The sequence below is a fragment of the Homo sapiens genome, chromosome 11, assembly GCF_000001405.40.
Source record: "Homo sapiens chromosome 11, GRCh38.p14 Primary Assembly".
In the NCBI taxonomy this organism is placed as follows: domain Eukaryota; kingdom Metazoa; phylum Chordata; class Mammalia; order Primates; family Hominidae; genus Homo; species Homo sapiens.
This window is the reverse complement of record NC_000011.10, coordinates 8,209,137-8,228,558: the sequence shown is the minus strand read 5'-3', so window position 1 is coordinate 8,228,558 and position 19,422 is coordinate 8,209,137. Positions and strand designations below refer to the sequence as shown.

Below are 19,422 nucleotides of genomic sequence, written 5' to 3'. Positions count from 1 at the left end.
GGCTGTCCAGAGCCTGCGCCCTCTGCAGCAACTGTTCCTGGGCCGATGGCAAGAAAAGCCCCTCTTGGCAGGCAGATGCTGTGGCCTAGCCTTTGTCTGCCTTAATCTGAGCCACCAGGCAGCTCAAGCTGATGAATAATGGAGCCAAGCTCATCTGCAGGCGCCTGAGTTTGAGCTGGACAAATCGGGGATTAAAGGGGCCCCCCACCCTCTTCTCAGCCTCCTTGCCTCACTTGGGGCTTGCTCTGTCTGTGTGCAGGAAAGAAGCAAGGAGGAGCCGGGATGGCTCAGACCATTGGGACATCCAGCCAAGGGCTGGCCTGCATGGGGAGGGAGTAAACTCCCTGTCCCTAGAGCTTTACAGCCAGCAGCTAAGAGGAGGGGTGCCTGCCTCAAAGAGGCATTTGTGCCAGATGTCCTTGGCGCTTCCTTTGGGCATCAGTTCTGTTTTACAGCATCTTTGAATAGGATCATCCATCCCTATTTTACAGAAGGATAAACTGAGGTTCAGAGAAAGAAAAAAAGGGACTTAGGCAAGTAACACAGTGAGTTTGTCATGGAAAAAAGATTTAATAAAACACTTTAATTTTGGCAAGGCACAGTGGCTCACACCTGTAGTCCCAGCACTTTGGGAGGCCAAGGCAGGAGGATCAGTTGAGGCCAGGAGTTCGAGAGCAGCCTGGCCAATATAGTGAGACCCCATCTCTATTTTTAAAAATCAAATAATAAACACTGTAATGTTAAAGGTGGGAAAAGCATGTCATGCAGTGGTTTAGAGCACGCCTTCTGGACCAAGGCCCTGTGACTGTCCAAGTTGTTTCTCTGTGACTCATATTTTAAATCTTTAAAATGGGGAATAATAATAGTACCACCTCCTAGGTTTGTTGTGAGGATTAAGCGTTTATCTTTGTAAAGCTCTTAGATTAGTGGCTGACACATAGTGAACACTACCTAGGTGGTTGCTTAGTGAGTTGTGACTGAGAATTTACAACAGGTTTCACAACTACCCCATAAAGGGTGTGTTTCAGGCTTTGTTTTACAGATGAGGTAAATGAGGCTCAGAGAGACTCACTGACTTGCCTGAGGGCACACAACCCAAGATTCAGTCTGCCCCTGAAATTCAGGCTTGCTCAGGGCCCAGCCTAGGATTCTCTTGGTGGCTCCAGGGCTTGAGGACCCTTGTGGGAGCCTGGGAGGGGGCCTTGGGATGGGCAGTGGCAGCCAACTCCTGACCCCCTACACACCCTCCCTGGAAGGGGATGTGCTGATTTATTGGCAGCCTGATCTCTGGGCAGAATCTAGATGCTGCCCTCAGTGCTCTTATCCTATTGCCTGAGCCCACCTGCTGAGCCCACAAGTTGGAGTATGGGAAGGACCCTGGATGGAGGCAACTCCTTTCCCCCTGCCCACCCAGCTTCCCAGAATGCTGCTGAGTCCTCTGCGCCCTTCCCTCGGCAGGCTCTTTGGCACCACAGGGAACTGTGCTGCTTGCAGCAAGCTGATCCCAGCCTTCGAGATGGTGATGCGGGCCCGGGACAACGTGTATCACCTCGACTGCTTCGCCTGCCAGCTCTGCAACCAGAGGTCAGTGCTGGACTGGCCGACCCAACACACTCCCCAGACGCCAGCCTGAGGCCTGCTGGGATGGGCCAGGAGCACGGCGGAGGCGTGCACGCAAATGCGGGTTGCGTGTGTGTATGTGGTGGTGCGTGCAGGTTATGAGCGTGCATGTGCTTTATGTGTTTTATGTGTGTGTAAGCTCGGTAGCCAAATGTGTGCACTTTAATATTGGGTGTGCACATCTGTGTGGCACATTTCTGTGTGAATATAATGAAGGCGTGCATGAGTTTACTGTGTATGCATAGTTGAGTGTGCATGTGCATGCATGTGTATTTGGAAATGTACAAGTGGGCACATGTGCATGATGGAATTAATATGCATTTGTACATGTGTTTTTAAATGTCTGGGGGTGTATGTGTATGTGCAACGTGCATGCATGATGAGGTGAGTATGCATGTGTGTATACATATTTTATTTTTTGAGATAGTCTCACTCTGTTGCCCAGGCTGGGGTGCAGTGGTGTGATCTCACAATCTTGGCTCACGGCAACCTCTGCCTCCCGGGTTCAAGTGATTCTCCTGCCTCAACCTCCCAAGTAGCTGGGACTACAGGCGTGTGCCACCACGCCTGGCTAATTTTTATTTTTATTTTTATTTTTATATTTTTAGTAGAGACGGGGTTTCACCATGTTGGCCAGGCTGGTCTTGAACTCCTGATCTCAGGTTATCTGCCCACCTCAGCCTCCCAGATTGCTGGGATTACAGGTGTGAGCCACCGCGCCCAGCCTGTATACGTGTTTGAAACGTGCATGTGCATGGGATAACGTATCCTCCCACCCCCGTACCCAGTGTATAGTATGTGCATGTGTGTGCATGTATGTTCCAGTGAGAAGGGGTTCCCAAATCTGGAGGGCAAAGTCCCCTCAGGGAGTGGCCACTCTCTCCTCACCCAGCCCTTGTGATTCTGGTTCCAGCCCAGCCTATTTTCTGGTCTCTTGGCCCCAACTCTGTGCCCTAGCCCTGTGGGAGTCCCTGGGGACCTAAGGAGCCAGAGCCCTTCAGCCCTGGCTGGGGCCTAGCACCAGAAGGCAGGCGCTCTTCTCAGGAGCCCCCAGGTCAGGTAGGAACGCATACAAGTGCTCCCTGAAGTGAGGTTCAGAGGGACCTACAGGGAACGCTGGTCTGGCTGGGGGCTCTGGCCGGACCTGCTGTTAGGAGGGCTCAGTGAACTTACAGCGCCACCTGGTGGTTGAACTGGGATCTGCTGGAACTAGGCCAGCGATCTTGGGGTCTCACTAAAGGCTTCACCCACCCTGGGGACATCTTTAGGGAAAGGACCGGAATCTTCCCTTACTTGGGGAGGACTAGGAGACCAATGAAGGGCCTTCCTTCGGTAGGAGAGGAGATAGTGGAACGGGGTTACCTCCTAGAAGGATGCTCTAGGTAACTTATCAATTTTGTTTAGAGGAAGAATGCCCTGTACTGAGCCATCCTCTTAAATTGGGGAGAGGGATAGACGGATGGAAAAAACAACCATTTTATCCCTCCTTCCTTACCCATCTCTGCCTTTTTTTTTTTTTTTTTTTTTTTTTTTTGAGATGGAGTCTTACTCTGTCGCCCAGGTTGGAGTGTGGTGGCGTGATCTCGGCTCACTGCAACTTCCGCCTCCTGGGTTCAAGCAATCCTCTGCCTCAGCCTCCCGAGTAGATGGGATTACAGATGCCCACCAGCTAAATTTTTTTGTATTTTTAGTAGAGATGGGGTTTCACCACCTTGGCCAGGCTGGTCTTAAACTCCTGACTTCGTGATCCACCCACCTCAGCCTCCCAAAGTGTTGGGATTACAGGTGTGAGCCACCACACCCGGCCCCATCTCTGCCTTTCTCCATCTGTCTCCCCACTTGGTCTTTTTCTGTTTGTGCTTTCCCTTTCTCCCTCTCTGGGACTGGGGTAGGCTGTTCCTGCACCTCTCCACCAACCCCCCTAACCCTACACTCACCAACACAGGAGACCTGACTATGGAAGCCTGTGGCCCAACTGTCTGTCTGTCCTACCACCTCAGGCTACAGGGCCTGGCCAAGGTTGGGGCTGGCCTGGGGGAATTGCCCAGGTGTGCTGTGGGGACTTTTGGCAGTTCCCTCTGGAAGGTTCAAGGAACAAACTCCCCCCACCACCTCCCACATAGCTCACCTCATAGGCCAGGCCGGCTTCTGTCTGCAGCCCCCCCCTTACCCACTGGGACCTTCCCATGGCTTCTCTCTCTCGCTTGGATTTTCTAGATTTTGTGTGGGAGACAAATTCTTCCTGAAGAACAACATGATCTTGTGTCAGATGGACTATGAGGAAGGGCAGCTCAATGGCACCTTTGAATCCCAAGTTCAGTAACGCCCGGCGCCTGGCCTCCAGGCCCGTCTGTCCATCTGCCCGCCTGCCCACCTGCCTGGCCGGCCAGCCAGCCACTCTACCAGTGCAGGCTGGCCAGCCGCTCTCCTGCCACATTAGAACTTCTCCGTCCTCGATGGGAGGGATGGCCCTTCCTCCTCCACCACCGCCCGTCTGTGTGTGACCCCTCCTGGGGCCAGGCCGGGCCTGTACAGTCTGTCTTCTGTATATAAATGGGAACATTTATTTTATGAGAAATGTAATGCGATTTTATTACTGGCGTGGATTAAACTTATGAATGTTTCCGGGAGGTTACTCTGCGTTGTTCACATGACTGACACAGACCTGGGGCCCCTCCCCTCTGCCTCTCAAGGGCAGGGCACAGAGCAGGGTAGGGGCCTCCAGCATGTGCTGTTGCTGGGCAGGGGAGCAAAAGGCTGGCTTTAGGGGAAGAAGCTGGGAGGAAGGAGACAACTCAGAGCCTCCAGCCCCAGCCAGAGGTGAGACCTGGGGTATCTTCCCTCTGGGAGAGCACACACTCTGGCCCTGAGTAGGTCCCTAAGAAGAGGGGCAAGATGAAGCCTTCCCTACCCTGTGTTCCATCCCCTCTGTTGAGACCCCAGACTGACTGCACAGATGGGGACCCAGCTCTGACCTTTTCCCCAGTAGGACCACAAATCTTGTGTCCTCTGCCATGGGAGCACCATGCTGAAACCTCTCTTCCCTTTTAGGGTGACAGACAGCACTTGTTGTCTCTGCCCAGCAGCTGGGGCCCAGCTTTCTGCTCTTCTGAGTGAGCAAGAAAAATCCTGTTTCCTTTCGACTCAGCCCATGCAGTCTGGAGGCATCCATTTATTCAGTCAGCAAACCTCAATAGACTCTGTGTCTCAATCCCATGCTGCAACCGGGGGTGTCCTGGAGCAAATCAGATGTGAGGATGAATCATAGATCAGACACCGTCCCTGCCCTTGGGGAGCTTGCTGTGGGGATGGAAAGCAGAAGCCATGTTGCGGGGAAAGCCAGGAAAACAAAGCACATCATTGTGAGGACGGAATGCTATGCGGAGACCTGGGACAGGCCAGTTCCCTCTGGGGGACACAAGGCCATTTGTGATGACTTAAGAAAGTCATAGATGGACAAGTCAATGGACATACGGTCAGACAGACATGTGCTGCAGGCAGGAAGGATGGACACACAAGTAGACAAGTGTGTAGGCAGAGACAGGCAGGAGAGGTGGAGGTGGTCAAGCCCCATCACTCAGCTCCAGCCAGAACTGCAGCAGACAGGCAGACACCAGGGCGTTTTCCACCTCCCCCGCCGAGCTAGATTTACTCAAGGCAGCAGGGATGCTGTCTTGGTCTTGGCTGCAGCCACAGTGCCAAGCACAAAGCCTGGAACTGTAAAGATACCTTCTCGCTGGGCAATATTAAAAACAGAGGCTTCTTGAATCCCCAACCTAGACAGAAAAAGTTGCATGGACAGGCTCCTTCACTATCAGGCCACTCCCTCCTCCTTCCCAGGGGCTATTTTCACCCTAGCCACAGCCCACAGCCCACAGCCCACAGCCCACAGCCCACAGCCCACAGCCCAGGGCAGAGGGAGTCAGACTATTGCCTCAAGCCCTGCCTGCTCCTGGGCAGGGAATGGGCTGGGCTGGGCTGGGCTAGGCTGGATTCGCACCTCACCCTCCCCAGGCCTACTCCTCTACTTGAAAGTGAAAGGATGGCTGGGCACTCCTGGGGGCTTGCAGGAGGCTACCTCTCCAAGTTGTGGTTTTGTGGTCATTGGCCCAGTTTCTGAAAAGGGATTGCTAGGGCCGAGGATCTTGGGGCAGAAGTTCTCAACTTTGGGGGCATCCAGTTTCTGTGAAGGAGCTGCACCCTGTATGTGCGAGAAGAGAGGCAAAGGCCAGTGGAGCTGGCTGCAGTGGGTGTTTGTGTGAGCCATGGGTCCAAGGGGACGGTGAAACTGGGAGCTGTCTGTATGTGAGCACATGGGATTGTGAAGGGGTTTGCGTGAGGAGAGACACAGAGGGCTGGAGTTTATAATGAGGAATTTTCTTTCTCAACCTGAAAAAGCAAATGATTTTCCTGCATTGTAGCAGAGTCCCCAGTGCCAGACTCTCCCTGGACCCTTAGGTCTAGGATGGCTGTGCCCAACCCAAGGGCCCCAACTCTTACTTCAGAGTTTGCTGGAGATAAAGTTATAATACAAGTTAATTACATGGTTATCAAGAGATAACGGAGCCACTCGAATGCAGTTTCTGGGCAATTACAATTGTTTCCAACAGAGTTACCATATTGCAGCCATGAAATAACATGTGATTTTGCAGTAATTATGTAATTAACTTGTCTCACCACTCTAGGTTGCACAACAATGAATTCACTCACAATGAGATAGAGTGAAACTCAGGCAGGCGGGGTTTGCAAGCCCCCAAGAACAGAGCTGGCCTTCTAAGACGACCCCAGCCCCACCTTGCCTACCCCAGACCTTGTCAACGGGCTTCCCCAGCTCAACATGGCACGGAATTTGCCAAGTCTGGCATCATGGACCCAGTTATTGCTCTCTCACCATCCTCATCTGGGAAATGGGGATGATCTGATTCCCAGGTCAGCCACGGGCCCCAGATCTGCACTATGAAGTGCTGTGGTTACATGAGCTACAGTCAGCATCACGGACATCATGAGATACTGAGTAGGAGACCCTCACCCAGAAAGTCCAGTGTCAGCCCACAGATACCCCCAAGAAGAGGCCACAGGGGCCTCATCTTAGCAAGCGTGAAACTGATAAGAGGGTAGGGGGGAAGCAGAGAGAGACCAAGCTCACTCTGTAACAGAGCAACTAGGGTGGGGCAGGAATGGCTACCAAGGTCTGGTGATTATGCACCTGGAGAGAATTCACAACACCCAGGAACACCCAGGGGTGACACGGGAGAAGCCTGAATTCCTCCCCGGTCACTGCAAAGGAGAAACTTGGTTAAGTGTAGGGCATGAATGGTCTGGGCTTGGCTCTCCTTGGGGGCTGCACCCACCACAGATGACTGGTGCGGGGAGGGAGAGCTGAGCATGAACTGTTACATGCTGCCGCAGCTCGCACCTCAGCCTGGGGCATGTGGGCAGTGGGGAATGTGGGCCGGCATTGAACCATAGCTGTGCACAAATCTCCCCTTCCTCCAACCAGATCATGGGACGTCATCCCCTCTCCCTGCCTTCCTTGGTGGCCTGGGGAAGAGATACTCTAACAGGGGGCCTGATCCCATGAAATATGGCACCTGCTTATGCTCCCACTCCTTGGCCTGAAGCTGGACTGCACAGCCCATGTTTGGAAAGAAGTTTGATTCCAATCTTAACACTGCTGCAGAGCCCATCATGAAATCTCCTATGAATCCTGTCTCCTCCTGGGCCTGCTCCCAGAAACCTTCCCCCACAACATGAGACATGTGGAGGCCACAGGCAGAATCCACATGACATTCCTGCCTGGGAGATCTCATCTCTACAAGGAGACAATTGCTCTTTCCCTTAAAGCTGTCAGAGACCATTCATGGCCAGGGTTTTTATTCTAGGGCAGCGTCCTTCTCCTTCATGCGAGTTGATGGAAAGTCTCTTGTGTGCCAGGGTTCCCCCAAACACCAGTTTCTCCCTCTCTTCAGATGCCCAAGCTGCACAACACTCAAGACTTCCAGTGGGTGCTGCCTAGACCCCAGCTGTCTGAGCTCATGTGCTCTGAGCCCAGGACAAACAGCCAGGTCCTCGGACTGTCCCCCGGCACTGGGTTTTGCAGAGCTTATTGCCTTTGCCAAGAAAGTCTGGGCCCGTCAGAGGTTCCAGAGCCCACTGGCTGCCTGTGGCACCTGGGCTGGGGTCTGCGCTTCCATGGTCCCCATGCCCTCTCCAGGACACCACATTCCAGAGAGGAGCTGGTTCAGGAGCTCCTGCCTGGGGCTTTCTTTGCAGACTCTTGCCTCCTGGATCTGCTCTGGAAGCACAGTGAAGCCCGTTGGGGTGGGGGTGGGGGAGAGCTCTGGGGTTTCCTGAAGTTCTGGCAAGTCCAGTTTTGTCTTCCAGAGCTGGAAGGTGCTAGGGAACTGAGGCGGTTCCTGGGCCACGTTTGTTGTTCTAACGGGTCTGCCTGCTGCACTGGGGGAACTGAAGGGCTCTCCTGACAAGGGGCCAGAGGGCTCCTCATGATTACTCAGGCTCCCTTTCTCTAGCTGCCACCCTGATCCCTGAGCCCCCGGCCCATCTGCCAGGTACTGGGTGGGATCAGGGATCAGAGACAGAGCACTGAGACACAGAGGGACAGAGGAAGAAATGAGAGTGAATAGGAGGTGGTGCGGTGGAGGGAGAGAAAGATGGAAACAGAGAGGTGGAGATGGAAAGAAATGAGGCAGAGGGCAGGAGAGGAGAGAGAGGGAGGGAATGGGAAAAGCATCCCAGAAGAAGTTTCTAACTTAGGGAAGGCGTGAGGTGAGGGCAGCGTGGTGGAAAGGGCAGCGTGGCATGATGGTTTCGTGTACAGGCCCAGGAGCCAGATTATGTGAGTTCAGATCCTAGCTCTCCACTTGGCAGCTACACAGCCCAGGGCAGCTTACTTAGTTTTCATCTTAGAGATGAGGACTTTCCTCATCTGTAGAGGGGACTGATGATAGTGCCTGCACCTCAGGCTGCTCCCAGCAGTCGATGAGCCATCACATGGGAGGTGCTCACAGCTGCAGCAGCTCCTGGCGAACACCAGAACACGCAACTGCTGCTGGGAACCTTCACTTCATACAACCTGCGCTAGGTCTGCTGGTTTGAGGCCTGTGCTCAATTCCAGGGCAGGAGGCCTGGCTCACCGCAGCAGAGTCCTGCGTCACCACCACAGGCGGTTCCTGGGCATCTGAGAGCTCTCAGGAGAGGGGCGCTGCGTGCTGGCACCAACGGGGGAAATCCAGCCCAGACAAACAAGGCAAGCTTTCATAAAAACATGCCCAACCCGCTTAAGCCTCTACGCAATTCTATCTCCATTTTACAGTTGAATCATCCCCATTTTACAGTTGAAGAAACTGAGGCTCAAAGAACCGTTCTAGTTAAGTAATATTCAATAGCATCTGGACTTGAATTCGGCCTGGTCTGACTGGAGTCCATGCAGGTAACTCCCATGTGAAACTGCCACCTAGAGGCTGCTCTGGGCAGTGGAAGGATCTGGGAGTGCTTCCAGAGCAGATCCAGGAGGTGAGTCTGCAAAGAGAGCCCCAGGCAGGAGCCCCTGAACCAGCTCCTCTCTGGAATGTGGTGTCCTGGAGAGGGCATGGGGACCATGGAAGCGCAGACCCCAGCCCAGGTGCCACAGGCAGCCAACGGGCTCTGGAACCTCTGAGGGGCCCAGACTCTCTTGGCAAAGGCAAGATTTTATCCTCACTAAACCCCCAGATCCTCTCCCAGTCTGCACCCCTTTTTCTCTCTACAACTCATGCCCTAGCGAGGGCTTGATCCACAGAGGGGAAGGGTCCTCGGACACTTAACGTTCCTCACTGCACATCCTGCATGACCATGTCACCGGGCCTGGCCTGTGCTGGCTGCTGGGTGGGACGAGCAATTCCAGGTGCTGACCAGAGGCGGTGCAGGCAGCCTGTCCCATGCCTGAACTGGAGGTTTATCAGTGGGGCAGGCCCCAGTGCATCCTTACTCTGTCAGTCCGTCCCAGACATGACCACGCTATACGCCAGGCACGGTGCTGGAAGCAGGCTACGGGATGGAAACACCAGTGAACAAGGTCATTCTCTGTGTGGTTTACAGTCTAGTGAGGGAGACAGACAATAAACAAATAAAAAGATCAATAACAGGCTAAAGACAGTGCCGGGTGGCAGGGAGAAGCTGGAGGGAAGTCTACTCAGAGAGAGTGGGCAGGGATGAGAGTTTCTTGCCCACCACCCTTAGAGACCATCTTATCCGATGGGCTCACTATGGGGAAACTGGGGCCCGGAGAGGAAGTGATGGCCAGGGGCACACTGGAACCAGCCTGGGTTGGGAGTCTGGGTTCCTGGCCCTCAGCCTGGCCCAGGGCTCTGTGTCCTACATCCTGTGACTTGCGTTCCAGCCAAGGATCCTCCTGGGGCACACAGTGGGTGGAGGAAAGGAAACTCCACTCAGCCCTGACACCTGCTCAGTGCTTCTCTTCCTTTGTTTGCCACTTAATAAGAAACATTACTCCTTAAAATGCCAAGAAACTGGGTTTGGGTTCTTGGCTTCCACCACCAGTCTGCCTGCCCCATAATGCCACCAACTTGGGACACATTGACTAGATCCATGGCTTCTGGGGATTCCAGTGGGATTGTTCCAGACACTTGGAGTGACTGCCCTGTATAGCGTATGCATTAAGAAGGCAGGATTCTCTGCAGACTCAGCACGAGTAGTGTTCTGGGGAAAAAACAATTCACTGTAAAAGCAGGAATGTGCAATGCCCAAAGGGCCGCAGGACGCCAGGAACTGGCAGGACCAGCTCTCCTGTTCCTTTTCTCCGGCCGTTGCCTCTTTCAGCCCGGCTGGTTAGTTCTGATGGGGGAGGAGCTCTGAGCTGAGGCTCACCTCTGGGGCCTCTGTTGGACCTTCCTGGCTCCTGGGGTCCAGAGGTGGGCCGAGGCAGGGAGAGGTGTGCCGAGGCAGGGAGAGGTGTGCCGAGGCAGGGAGAGCTGGGCCGAGGCAGGGAGAGGTGGGCCGAGGCAGGGAGAGGTGTGCCGAGGCAGGGAGAGCTGGGCCGAGGCAGGGAGAGGTGGGCCAAGGCAGGGAGAGCTGGGCCGAGGCAGGTGGGTTTCTCTTAGCTGTGCATCACAGGCCGAGGTGTGGTGGCTCCTGTCTGCTGCCAATGACATGCCCATTAGGCACCCCCTGAGGGAAAGGTTGTTTTGTCTGGGTCCTGTAGACTCCCCTCCCTGCTTCACCTGGGCTTTCAGGTCTATGGGTTCCTGAAATCAGTCAAGGTGATGGTAGGGCCCCTTGCTCCTGGTCCAGGCACATCAGGCCACCATCCATTCCTAGCCTCTCTCACAGTGAAGGAGTGAGGGTGACTTTGCACAAAGTACGGTTGGGGTGGGCACCCCCTTCTCTGAGTTCCCGTGGGCTGCTGCCCCTCAGCCGGGAGCTCTGCTGGCCCAAACCTCTCCTTCACCCTCCCCTGCACCTGCCTTCTTATTTAGGGCCTATCTGGAAGCTAATCCCCGTGCTTATTAGATGACCCCTCATCCTGTCCCTCTGCTTTCATTAGAGACAAGAGAGCTAATTACCAGCCCCTCTGAGGCCCCACTACGGCCATTTTAGAGCTGAGGCAGCCCTTAAAATGATTTAAAAATCCCATTTCCCTGCAATGAAATAGACTACCCTTCCCTCCTCATTAAGGCTAATTACAAAACATTTCCCACCTGAGAGGGGCCTGCTCTTGTCCTCCCACCCACCCCCACCTCCAGCAGTGGCTCCCCAAAGAAGCCTCCCCAGGCTGGGAAGGGAGGCAAGGGAAGCATCAGAGGCTCTTCTCCCTCCAGGAAGACATCCCGGTAAGTTCTGGAAGGCTGAGCCTAAAGCAGCCGGAGGCAGGATGCGTGCAGGTTGTGGGGGTTGGATGGAGAAATGTTGAGAAGGGGAAAGACAAAACCAGGTTTGAATGGTGGGCACCACCCCTTCTAGGGCCGTCATGCTGCAAAACTGCAAAACTTCCCCCACCAAGTCCAAAACGTGAGCATGTCCTACAGGAAGGAGAACCAGGTCAGGCTCTCAGGACTCATTGGAGCTCTTTGTGGTCCTGGAGTTTCCAAGATGGAGCCCCTTGGGCTCATCAGCAGATACACAGAGTGGAAGAGGTGGTGGAAAGCACGCCCAACAAATACGGCGTGGCCTTTCCCTGGAAAACCAGCACTCATTACCTCCAGAAGCAGCTCAGCTCTTCAAAGGGGGCCTCCGCCCAGGTGCCTCAGACTCCAGAAAATGATGCTGACATTATCCTTAATTGTCTTCTTCCCCTCTGCCCCCTGCCTGGGACAAGCAAAGTGGAAAAACCAAATTAAAAACTCAGGCTATCAAAAAAGGAGCACTTTAAAAATTTCAGCATATATATATGTTTGTCATATATATGTTATATATAAAGGTTTGTTTCATTTCAAAAACATAACTTTATTTTGCAGTTTAGATATTTTTATTTTAAATCCCATAGGGGGTTGGATGCTCTCATCTTTTTTCTTTAGCATAGGGCCTCTAACCTAGGCTCTGGACTCCATTTAGCTCTGCTCTCTCTCTATGCAGCATGGGGCTGTGCAACGTAATCTTTGAGGTTCATCCCTCTCCCACATTCTTGGAAACTGTGAGTCCCATTCCATGGGACATTTGGTGTGGACTGTTTCTGCATGCTTTCTTCCCAACCCCGCCTTTGGTAGGGGGCTGTAGATTGGTGGTGTGCAGTAGATGGACCCCAATGTTTAGCTCACAGCCAAGCTTTGTCAAAGGGGTAATATAGAGCAAAAAAGTGGCATGATCTATTTTGTTGGGGACCCCAAGGCCTTCCCAATGTGATCCCTGGGCCAAGCAGGAATAGACTCTGCCTTCCATCACTGAGTTTGTCTCTGGTGACCCTCAACACCAGCAGTGCTTTGAAGAATGGGACACCATATTCTTCACTCCCCTTCAGACACTCTCCTAGTCTTGTACACCTTCAAGCTTTGCTTTCTGATCTTTGCAGAGAAACATTTAGGCCAGGATAAAGACTTCATATAAAGGAAGGGGCACAGGTTCCAGAGTCCCAAGATAGATGCAGATTCTGGGCTCCTGATCCCATCTGGGTAGGGACCAGATCCCCATTATACTTCTGGTTGTCTTTATTCCCTGTTAGAATGCACACTTCCACCTTTCCCCACCACTGACCAGTAGACCTTTGTCCAGCAAAATAATGCCCTTGGGCCTGAAGAGACCTTAGAGGCAGAATATCAAGGGCCCCTTGCTTTTAGTGGGCAATCTACGTTTTTATATTAGCGGTTACAGGTTTCTACCCTCTAGGAACTTACCCACCCAGTGGGGCCAAAGACAACAACCCATTATAGAAATGTTTCTGCTTATTAAAGCCCTATAACTCCCATTGCTATATTTTGTCTCCCAGTCTCCCTGGGAGTACACAGGTTAAGAGTCCCAGTTTACAGGGAAGGACATAAAATATATTGTAATGTAGTTAGATCATGCAGAGGACAGAAGAGGAATCAGCTCTCCTTCCTCTTGGGACAGGGTGCCTGCTCTGTACCTTAGTGTAGACCACTAATAGAAGCAATACATGGTGAGAGTGGATGCATGGATATTGTGTTGTGAGAATTCTGAAGAGGAGATGGCCCACGTGGCAGAAAATATCTGAGAAGAGGCAAGTACTGAGCTGCTTCTTACAGAAAGACTAGCTAGAAATATGAGGGACGGCCTTACAGGTACAGAGGGAAGCCTGTAATCTTGACTTGTCAAAACAGAAGAAGGGACACTGGGAAGTGGAGTGTGCCTAGAATGGAAGTGGGGGACAGGGAATTGGAAGCTGAGCAGAAGAGTTTAAGCCTTTATGTAGTAGGCAATAGAGAGCTCGCGTTATGAGCCGGGCATAGCACACATGTCCACTGCTGTTTTCTAAGTTGTGAATCTTATGGACACTTGGAAAATGTATTTTCCTGTGGGTACCATAGGTAACCTTACTGGCTCTCACTTAGCAAAGCCCTACCTCTGTAAGGGCACAGTGACCTGCTGTGAAGCAGGAGTATCAAGGAAGAATGCTTTTGGTGGCTCAGGCTGGGGCCCAGGGAGCAAAACGGGCTTATTGGAGCTGGGGCTAGGATTTATCTGCATGGAGATACAGAGAAAGGACACTTCAGGCTGAGACAAAAGCAAATGTAAGACCTAGCAGTGCTAGGGGGGCTCAGGGAGGAGCAGGCAGCCAGATGTGCTGGGAGGTGAGGGGGCTTATTGGAAGTAGTGAAGTGGTCTATGGGTAAAGGGAGTAAAGTTGATGGAGATATTGGATGGTCTGTGTCCTGGGGCACAGGGAATAGAACTAGGGTTAAAGAGCACTGTTTATTGGGGAGGACTTTGAGGCCCGATAGACCAGAAAGGTTCAGCAGGTGGCAGAGTCTAGCAAAATGGTGTGATGTTTTGAAACACACCTCTGCCAAGGGGTAATAATGCTCATTGCAAGTGGAGGTGACCACTCTCTTGGCTAAAAATTGAGCATGATATGGCCTGGGGCAAAACCCTGTGGCTGGCCATGCAGTACTTCCTATCATACTACCATTATTTGGTGTTCTTTTGGGAGTGATTCTTCAAACAGCTGAGTAATATCACGTCAGATGCAGTTTTCCATCACAAGCGTGGATGAGGTTATGAAGGAACTTACCAAGAATCCAGACACTGAAAAGCATCCCTGAGAGCAGTCTAGTGACCTAGGCAGAAAAAAAAGTGATGTTGATTTAATTCATCCATCAACGCATCCGTCCATCCATCCTTCTTGCCATTCTTCCTTCCATCCAGATTTCTGTCTATCCAAGGTATGTCGAGTGTGTAATGTAGTATAAGGCAAGAAAGGTGAAAAGACAAATGAACCAAAGCCCCTGCCCTCAAGAAATCTCACAGAAAGGAGGGGAGTCAGGAGCCAGCCTGTTAAAAAGTCATAACTCAGTGTGATTGGCGTCATGTCAGAGCTCTGAACAGAGGTTTCAGAAAGAAGGAAGAGAAGGTGACTAACTTTGCCTGGGAGAAGGGAAGGTTTCAGAGGGAAGGACACTTGAACTATCAAACGTGGAAGGATGAGTATGCCCGGCAGCAGGTAAAGGCACAGAAGTGGGAGACAGTGGGGCTTAGTTGGAGGGTGACCAAGCACTCAATGCACCTGCAACCCAGAACGCAGAGGCCTTGGAGGAAAGCAGCAAGCCTGCTGGAAGGGGCTCTCGTGCCAGGCCAGGGAGATAGACCTTTACCCTGGAGGCAACCAGGAAATGTCAAAACTTTGTAAGTGGAACAAAGGCACAATAAGGCCTGAACTTTTTGGGAAATCACTCTGCAGTGACATAAAGAGTGAATCATGGCAGGAAGTAGTGGCTTACGCCTGTAATCCCAACACTTTCAGAGTCTATGGTGGGAGGATTGCTTGAGTCCAGGAGTTCAAACCTGAGCAACATAGCAGGAGTCTGTCTCTACAAAAATAATTTTAAAAATTAGCCGGGCATGATGGTGTGCACCTAGCTAGTTGGGAGGCTAAGGTAGGAGGATCACTTGAGCCCAGGAGGTCAAGACTGCAGTGAGCCATGATTACACCACCGCACTCCAGTCTGGCAGTAGACACCAGGAATGGGGACAGGGCAGACAGCAGGGGTGAGGACACCTGCAGCTTCTTCTATTGTACAGATGAGGAATGAGTTTTTCATGACTTGCTCTTCATGAGCCTTTGCCAGACTTTTTTGTTTTTCTCTCCATTCAGTAAGTACTAGAACCCTCTTGGGGATAGAGAAGGCAAGTTCTTCCATCCAGTCATTGCGTCCTAGGCCTGCTTTGAGTTTTATCCACTCTCTGCTCCCAAGGCATCTTCAAGCACAGAGAATAAAATGGCCAAAGAAAAGGTGTTCACACTGGGCAAATAATTTCTGATGAAATGAAGTGAACTGTGGTTACCTCCTCAGCCCCCCACCACCAGGGTATTTGGGGCTCATTGAGAAAGGAATTGAGAATGATGCCAATATCCCAAATGGCTCATATGGGGCATTTTCTGTTAGTGGAAGGTCCCTCTACAATAAAAACAGGTTGAGAAATGAGGTAAACACTTACTTTGGCATAATAATTCCAGGTAATAATTATTGGAGAGAAATTAAAATCAGGTAACCAGGAGGAATATGTATTCCTCTGGTAATAATTAGCTTTGAATTTTGTGAATTTTGTGAATTTCTGTTAGGTAAATCTAGGAGGAAGCAATGCATCCACGTCTGGTTTAGAGGTTGAACTAGAGCCAAAGCATGAGCGCCTTCCTCACTCACAGGAACAAGACAGCATCTACCTGAGACACCCTCTGTAGTGGACATTTAGGGGACTTTGAAGCTCCAGTCCACAGATGATTAGTCCAAAACAAAGAAGTGTACCTGGACCCTATTAATGGTCTAGGGTGTGTAGGTATCCAAATTGTTCTTATCAGACTAAGGACTAATATCCCATGACAGGATGAGAGGTTTCCTATCTTTCTATATGTGAATAAGGAAAGAGGTGGTTCTTTTTGTCACTGCTAGCCATCATGACCATAAAGGAGACCAGTCTTAAGACGAAGATGGCACCAAGGAAGGCGGAATGGAGGAATGGAAAAATCTATGTCCTCAATGGCTTCATTAAACTGCTGGTGGTATACACTTGGGGCCCACCCTACCTCCAGATGACTGCATTGTTTAAGTCCCCTTGAATCTGGGGTTTCTGTTACTTGCAGCTCAGAGCTTCTTTATTAATACACCCTACAAAGGACTCTAAAGGTAAAGTTGTGTATGCCTTGTTGCGGTACGAGGAAACTTTGGCTGTATAAACTCACGCCCTGGTCTTTCCAACTTCCTGTATGGATTTTATGGGTGCCTAGTTGAAGCCTTCATTAGAAATGCTTATGCCTCCATCCACTGGAGTTGAGCATATATTAGACCTGGGGAAAATAGGTATGGTGGCACTCAGAGAAAGGGGCAGGACCTTTTCCTTCAACTTCTGATGGGGCCCTGGCCCTGCCTTTGAGAGTTTAATAGCCAATATTCTGGTTTTCCTCTCAAGAGAATATTAGCAGATCATGCACTTGTCTCACCTGAGGGCCAGAAGGGAGGGCCTTGCGCTGCAGATTAGTAGTGGCTGTCCTCTCCACACCCAGCACTGTATTCCTCCCCACCCACCTTGTATTCTCCTTCCCTCCTCACCCTATTGCTTGAGGAGAGGGGCTGTGAGTATGGGAAGTGGTAACTGGGACCAGAGCCTAGCTGAGGCCTCACGGCAGTGCTCCAACTGGCAGGCAGGCAAAAACTGGAAGCCCTCTTTCTCTAGGGCTGAAGCACCAGCTAGGAGAGGCTCTGAGAAGCAGGACCTGAAGGTAGCATGTGCAGTGCAGCCTGTTCTGGCTCCCAAGGCATGGCCTAGTTGGGACTGCAAGAACCATCAAAGCTGTCCTCCCCTCCCTCCCCTGCCTTGGATGACACATGAAAGGGACTCTGATGCCCTATGCTGGTGGCTTTGATGTCCAGCCTTGCCCATTGAAAAGCCCTCTCCCTGGCAATATTCTCTGTCTCTCCTCTGTGACTTTCCCTGTGTCCTCCTTGTCATTCTCTCTCTCCCTCCCCCTCCTTTTTTGCCCCTGTCTCCCTCTGACCATCCCCATCTCCATCCACCTTTCTCTGCTCCTCAAGCTCTGTGTAGCTAAGTCATTTTTCCTGAAGTAAAATCTGAGTCATCCTGTGTAAGACAGTTGGGTTCAATGAAGAATGAACCCAAAGGCCACGGGGCTTTGCTAGACCAAGCCTGAAGCTACTCACCCTACTCTCTTTTCTTAGAAAAGACATGAGTCCCCTGGTAGCTGGACGCTTGCAGCTGGTCCTGCCTCCAGAAAAAACAGAAGCCTCTCTGTGATCTGGCAGGGCTCCCCTAGACCCCAGAATATCCCCCAACCCATCTGCCTGGAGCCCAAAATTCTACTATTATTAGTTATCCCATCGGGACCCCCTGACATTGTGCACCAGCGATTTCATATGTGAGTCTCACAGTTTTTCTCTGAAGGGTCCCAATGATCAGAGGTATCAGAGAGTGTTGGAGTGTGGTCTGCCATATTACAAGATTATTTTTAAGATTCAGGTTTTGTCTTAAAAGTTCACATGCGTCTGTTCTCACTCATAAGTGGGAGTTGAACAATGAGAACACATGGACACAGAGAGGGGAACAATACACACTAAGGCCTGTTGGGGGTTGGGGGTTAAGGGGAGGGAAATTAGCGGACCCATCAGTAGGTGCAGCAAACCATCATGGCACATGTATGCCTGTGTGACAAACCTGCATGTTCTGCACATGTATCCCGTTTTTTTTTTTTTAGAAGAAATAAAGAAAATAAAGTTCATATGCATCAATGTATTCCAGTTTATAATATATCCCCCAAGTTCTTCTCAGTGCCCCCTTTCAGGTTACCAAATGTAACCTCTATCCTGCCAGTTCATAATATATCTTTTCAGGCTGGGTGTAGTGGCTCACACCTGTAATCCCAGCACTTTGGGAGGCTGAAGCAGGAGGATTGGTTGAGCTCAGGAGTTCGAGATCAGCCTGGGCAACATAGTGAGAATTTGCCTCTGCAAAAAAATCGTAAAAAGTAACCAAGTGTGTGGTTGTGTGCTCCTGTAGTCCCAGCTACTCTGGAGGCTGAGGCAGGAGGATCGCTTGAGCCTGGGAGTTTAAAGCTGCACTGAGTTATGATTGTATCACTGCACTCCAGCCTGGGCAACAGAGCGAGAGCTTCATATATATATGACATGTAACAAGATTTCTTTTAAGATTCAGGATTTGATCTCTCTCTCTATATAGACCTATATACAGAGAAATCTCTCTCTCTCTCTCTCTCTCTAGAGAGAGAGAGAGAGAGATAATTGATGGCTAAGGAATTGATGGTCATAAAGATGTGACTTGCCCAAGGTTGCTGAGCCTGTGAGTGGTGACCCATGGACTGGGGACTCCTGCCCAGGTCCCATAAGCCCTGTCAGTGGTGGCATTCCCAGATGGACAGAAATTTGCTTGCTGGAGCCTGGGTTGTCTTGTCTGATGAAAAGATTCCTGTTGAGAGTCTTGAGTATATTGAGTTAGGAAGATCCAAGAGGCAGGGGATGGGGTTTAAGCAATACTGACTCCCAGGACTTGGCCATGGAAGGATTGCAGGACTTCAGGCAGCCTGACTGGGGTGGCCAGTAGGCCAGTAGGTGTCTCTTCCAGAGAATCAGGCTCTGAGAGGGATACCATTAGTCCTCTGAGCCAAGTATGACTGTTGGCTTCCCGGATCCCTGATCAGACACTCACCTGGCTCTTCCCTGGGGACAGAGGAGAACAGGGCATGGTCTGGCCCCCTTAGTGTGACTGGGTGAACTTGAGCAGTTCTCTTCCTGTCTCTGAGCCCCAGTCCTCTTTGCAAAATAAGAAACTGGAAGGAATGTCTCCCAAATACCCAAGGGGTGGCTTGCAGCCCCCAGGGCGGCCAGCAGGAGGTGCTGGTGTCCTGATGGGTCACCTTCACAGAAGGGAAGAGCCAGGTCTGTGCAGCCTCGCCGGCCTCTGACTTGAGGCCTCCCTCTCTTGGTAACTCCCAGAGGAGGGCTCCAGCTGTCAGCTCACTGGGATCAAATGAGTCCCTGGCAGATTCTGGAGGTGTAGGAGAACCTGCTTGGGGAGGATCAGACCAAATTCTGCCAAAATTCTGAGGACTGGAGAAGGTGATTTGGGGGACTCCTTTTCAAAACAATA

General features: G+C 51.5%; 1 protein-coding gene across 7 annotated transcripts in view, besides 2 other annotated features; it reads left to right on the top strand.

Annotated features, from left to right (window-relative positions):
• LMO1 (LIM domain only 1) overlaps nt 1-4,250 on the top strand; it is a 44,479-nt gene extending 40,229 nt beyond the window's left edge. For 6 of the 7 annotated variants that reach the window (NM_001270428.2, NM_002315.3, XM_011520099.3 and 3 more), the window contains 2 exons: nt 1,459-1,584; nt 3,838-4,250. In NM_001270428.2, coding sequence (NP_001257357.1) covers nt 1,459-1,584; nt 3,838-3,943 — 232 coding nt within the window. In that variant the 3' untranslated portion in view covers nt 3,944-4,250. Of the gene's footprint in view, nt 1-1,458; nt 1,706-3,837 lie in introns of all 7 variants that reach the window. The other variant, NR_073006.2, reaches the window with a different exon arrangement.
• Nucleotides 751-1,411: an enhancer, noted in NCBI's record as "NANOG-H3K27ac-H3K4me1 hESC enhancer chr11:8248695-8249355 (GRCh37/hg19 assembly coordinates)". NCBI's record gives its function as "activates a minimal SCP1, AML or CMV promoter by ChIP-STARR-seq in primed H9 embryonic stem cells {active_cell/tissue: H9 hESC(primed)}" and the evidence as "EXISTENCE:reporter gene assay evidence [ECO:0000049][PMID:30033119]".
• Nucleotides 5,580-6,081: an enhancer, noted in NCBI's record as "H3K4me1 hESC enhancer chr11:8244025-8244526 (GRCh37/hg19 assembly coordinates)". NCBI's record gives its function as "activates a minimal SCP1, AML or CMV promoter by ChIP-STARR-seq in primed H9 embryonic stem cells {active_cell/tissue: H9 hESC(primed)}" and the evidence as "EXISTENCE:reporter gene assay evidence [ECO:0000049][PMID:30033119]".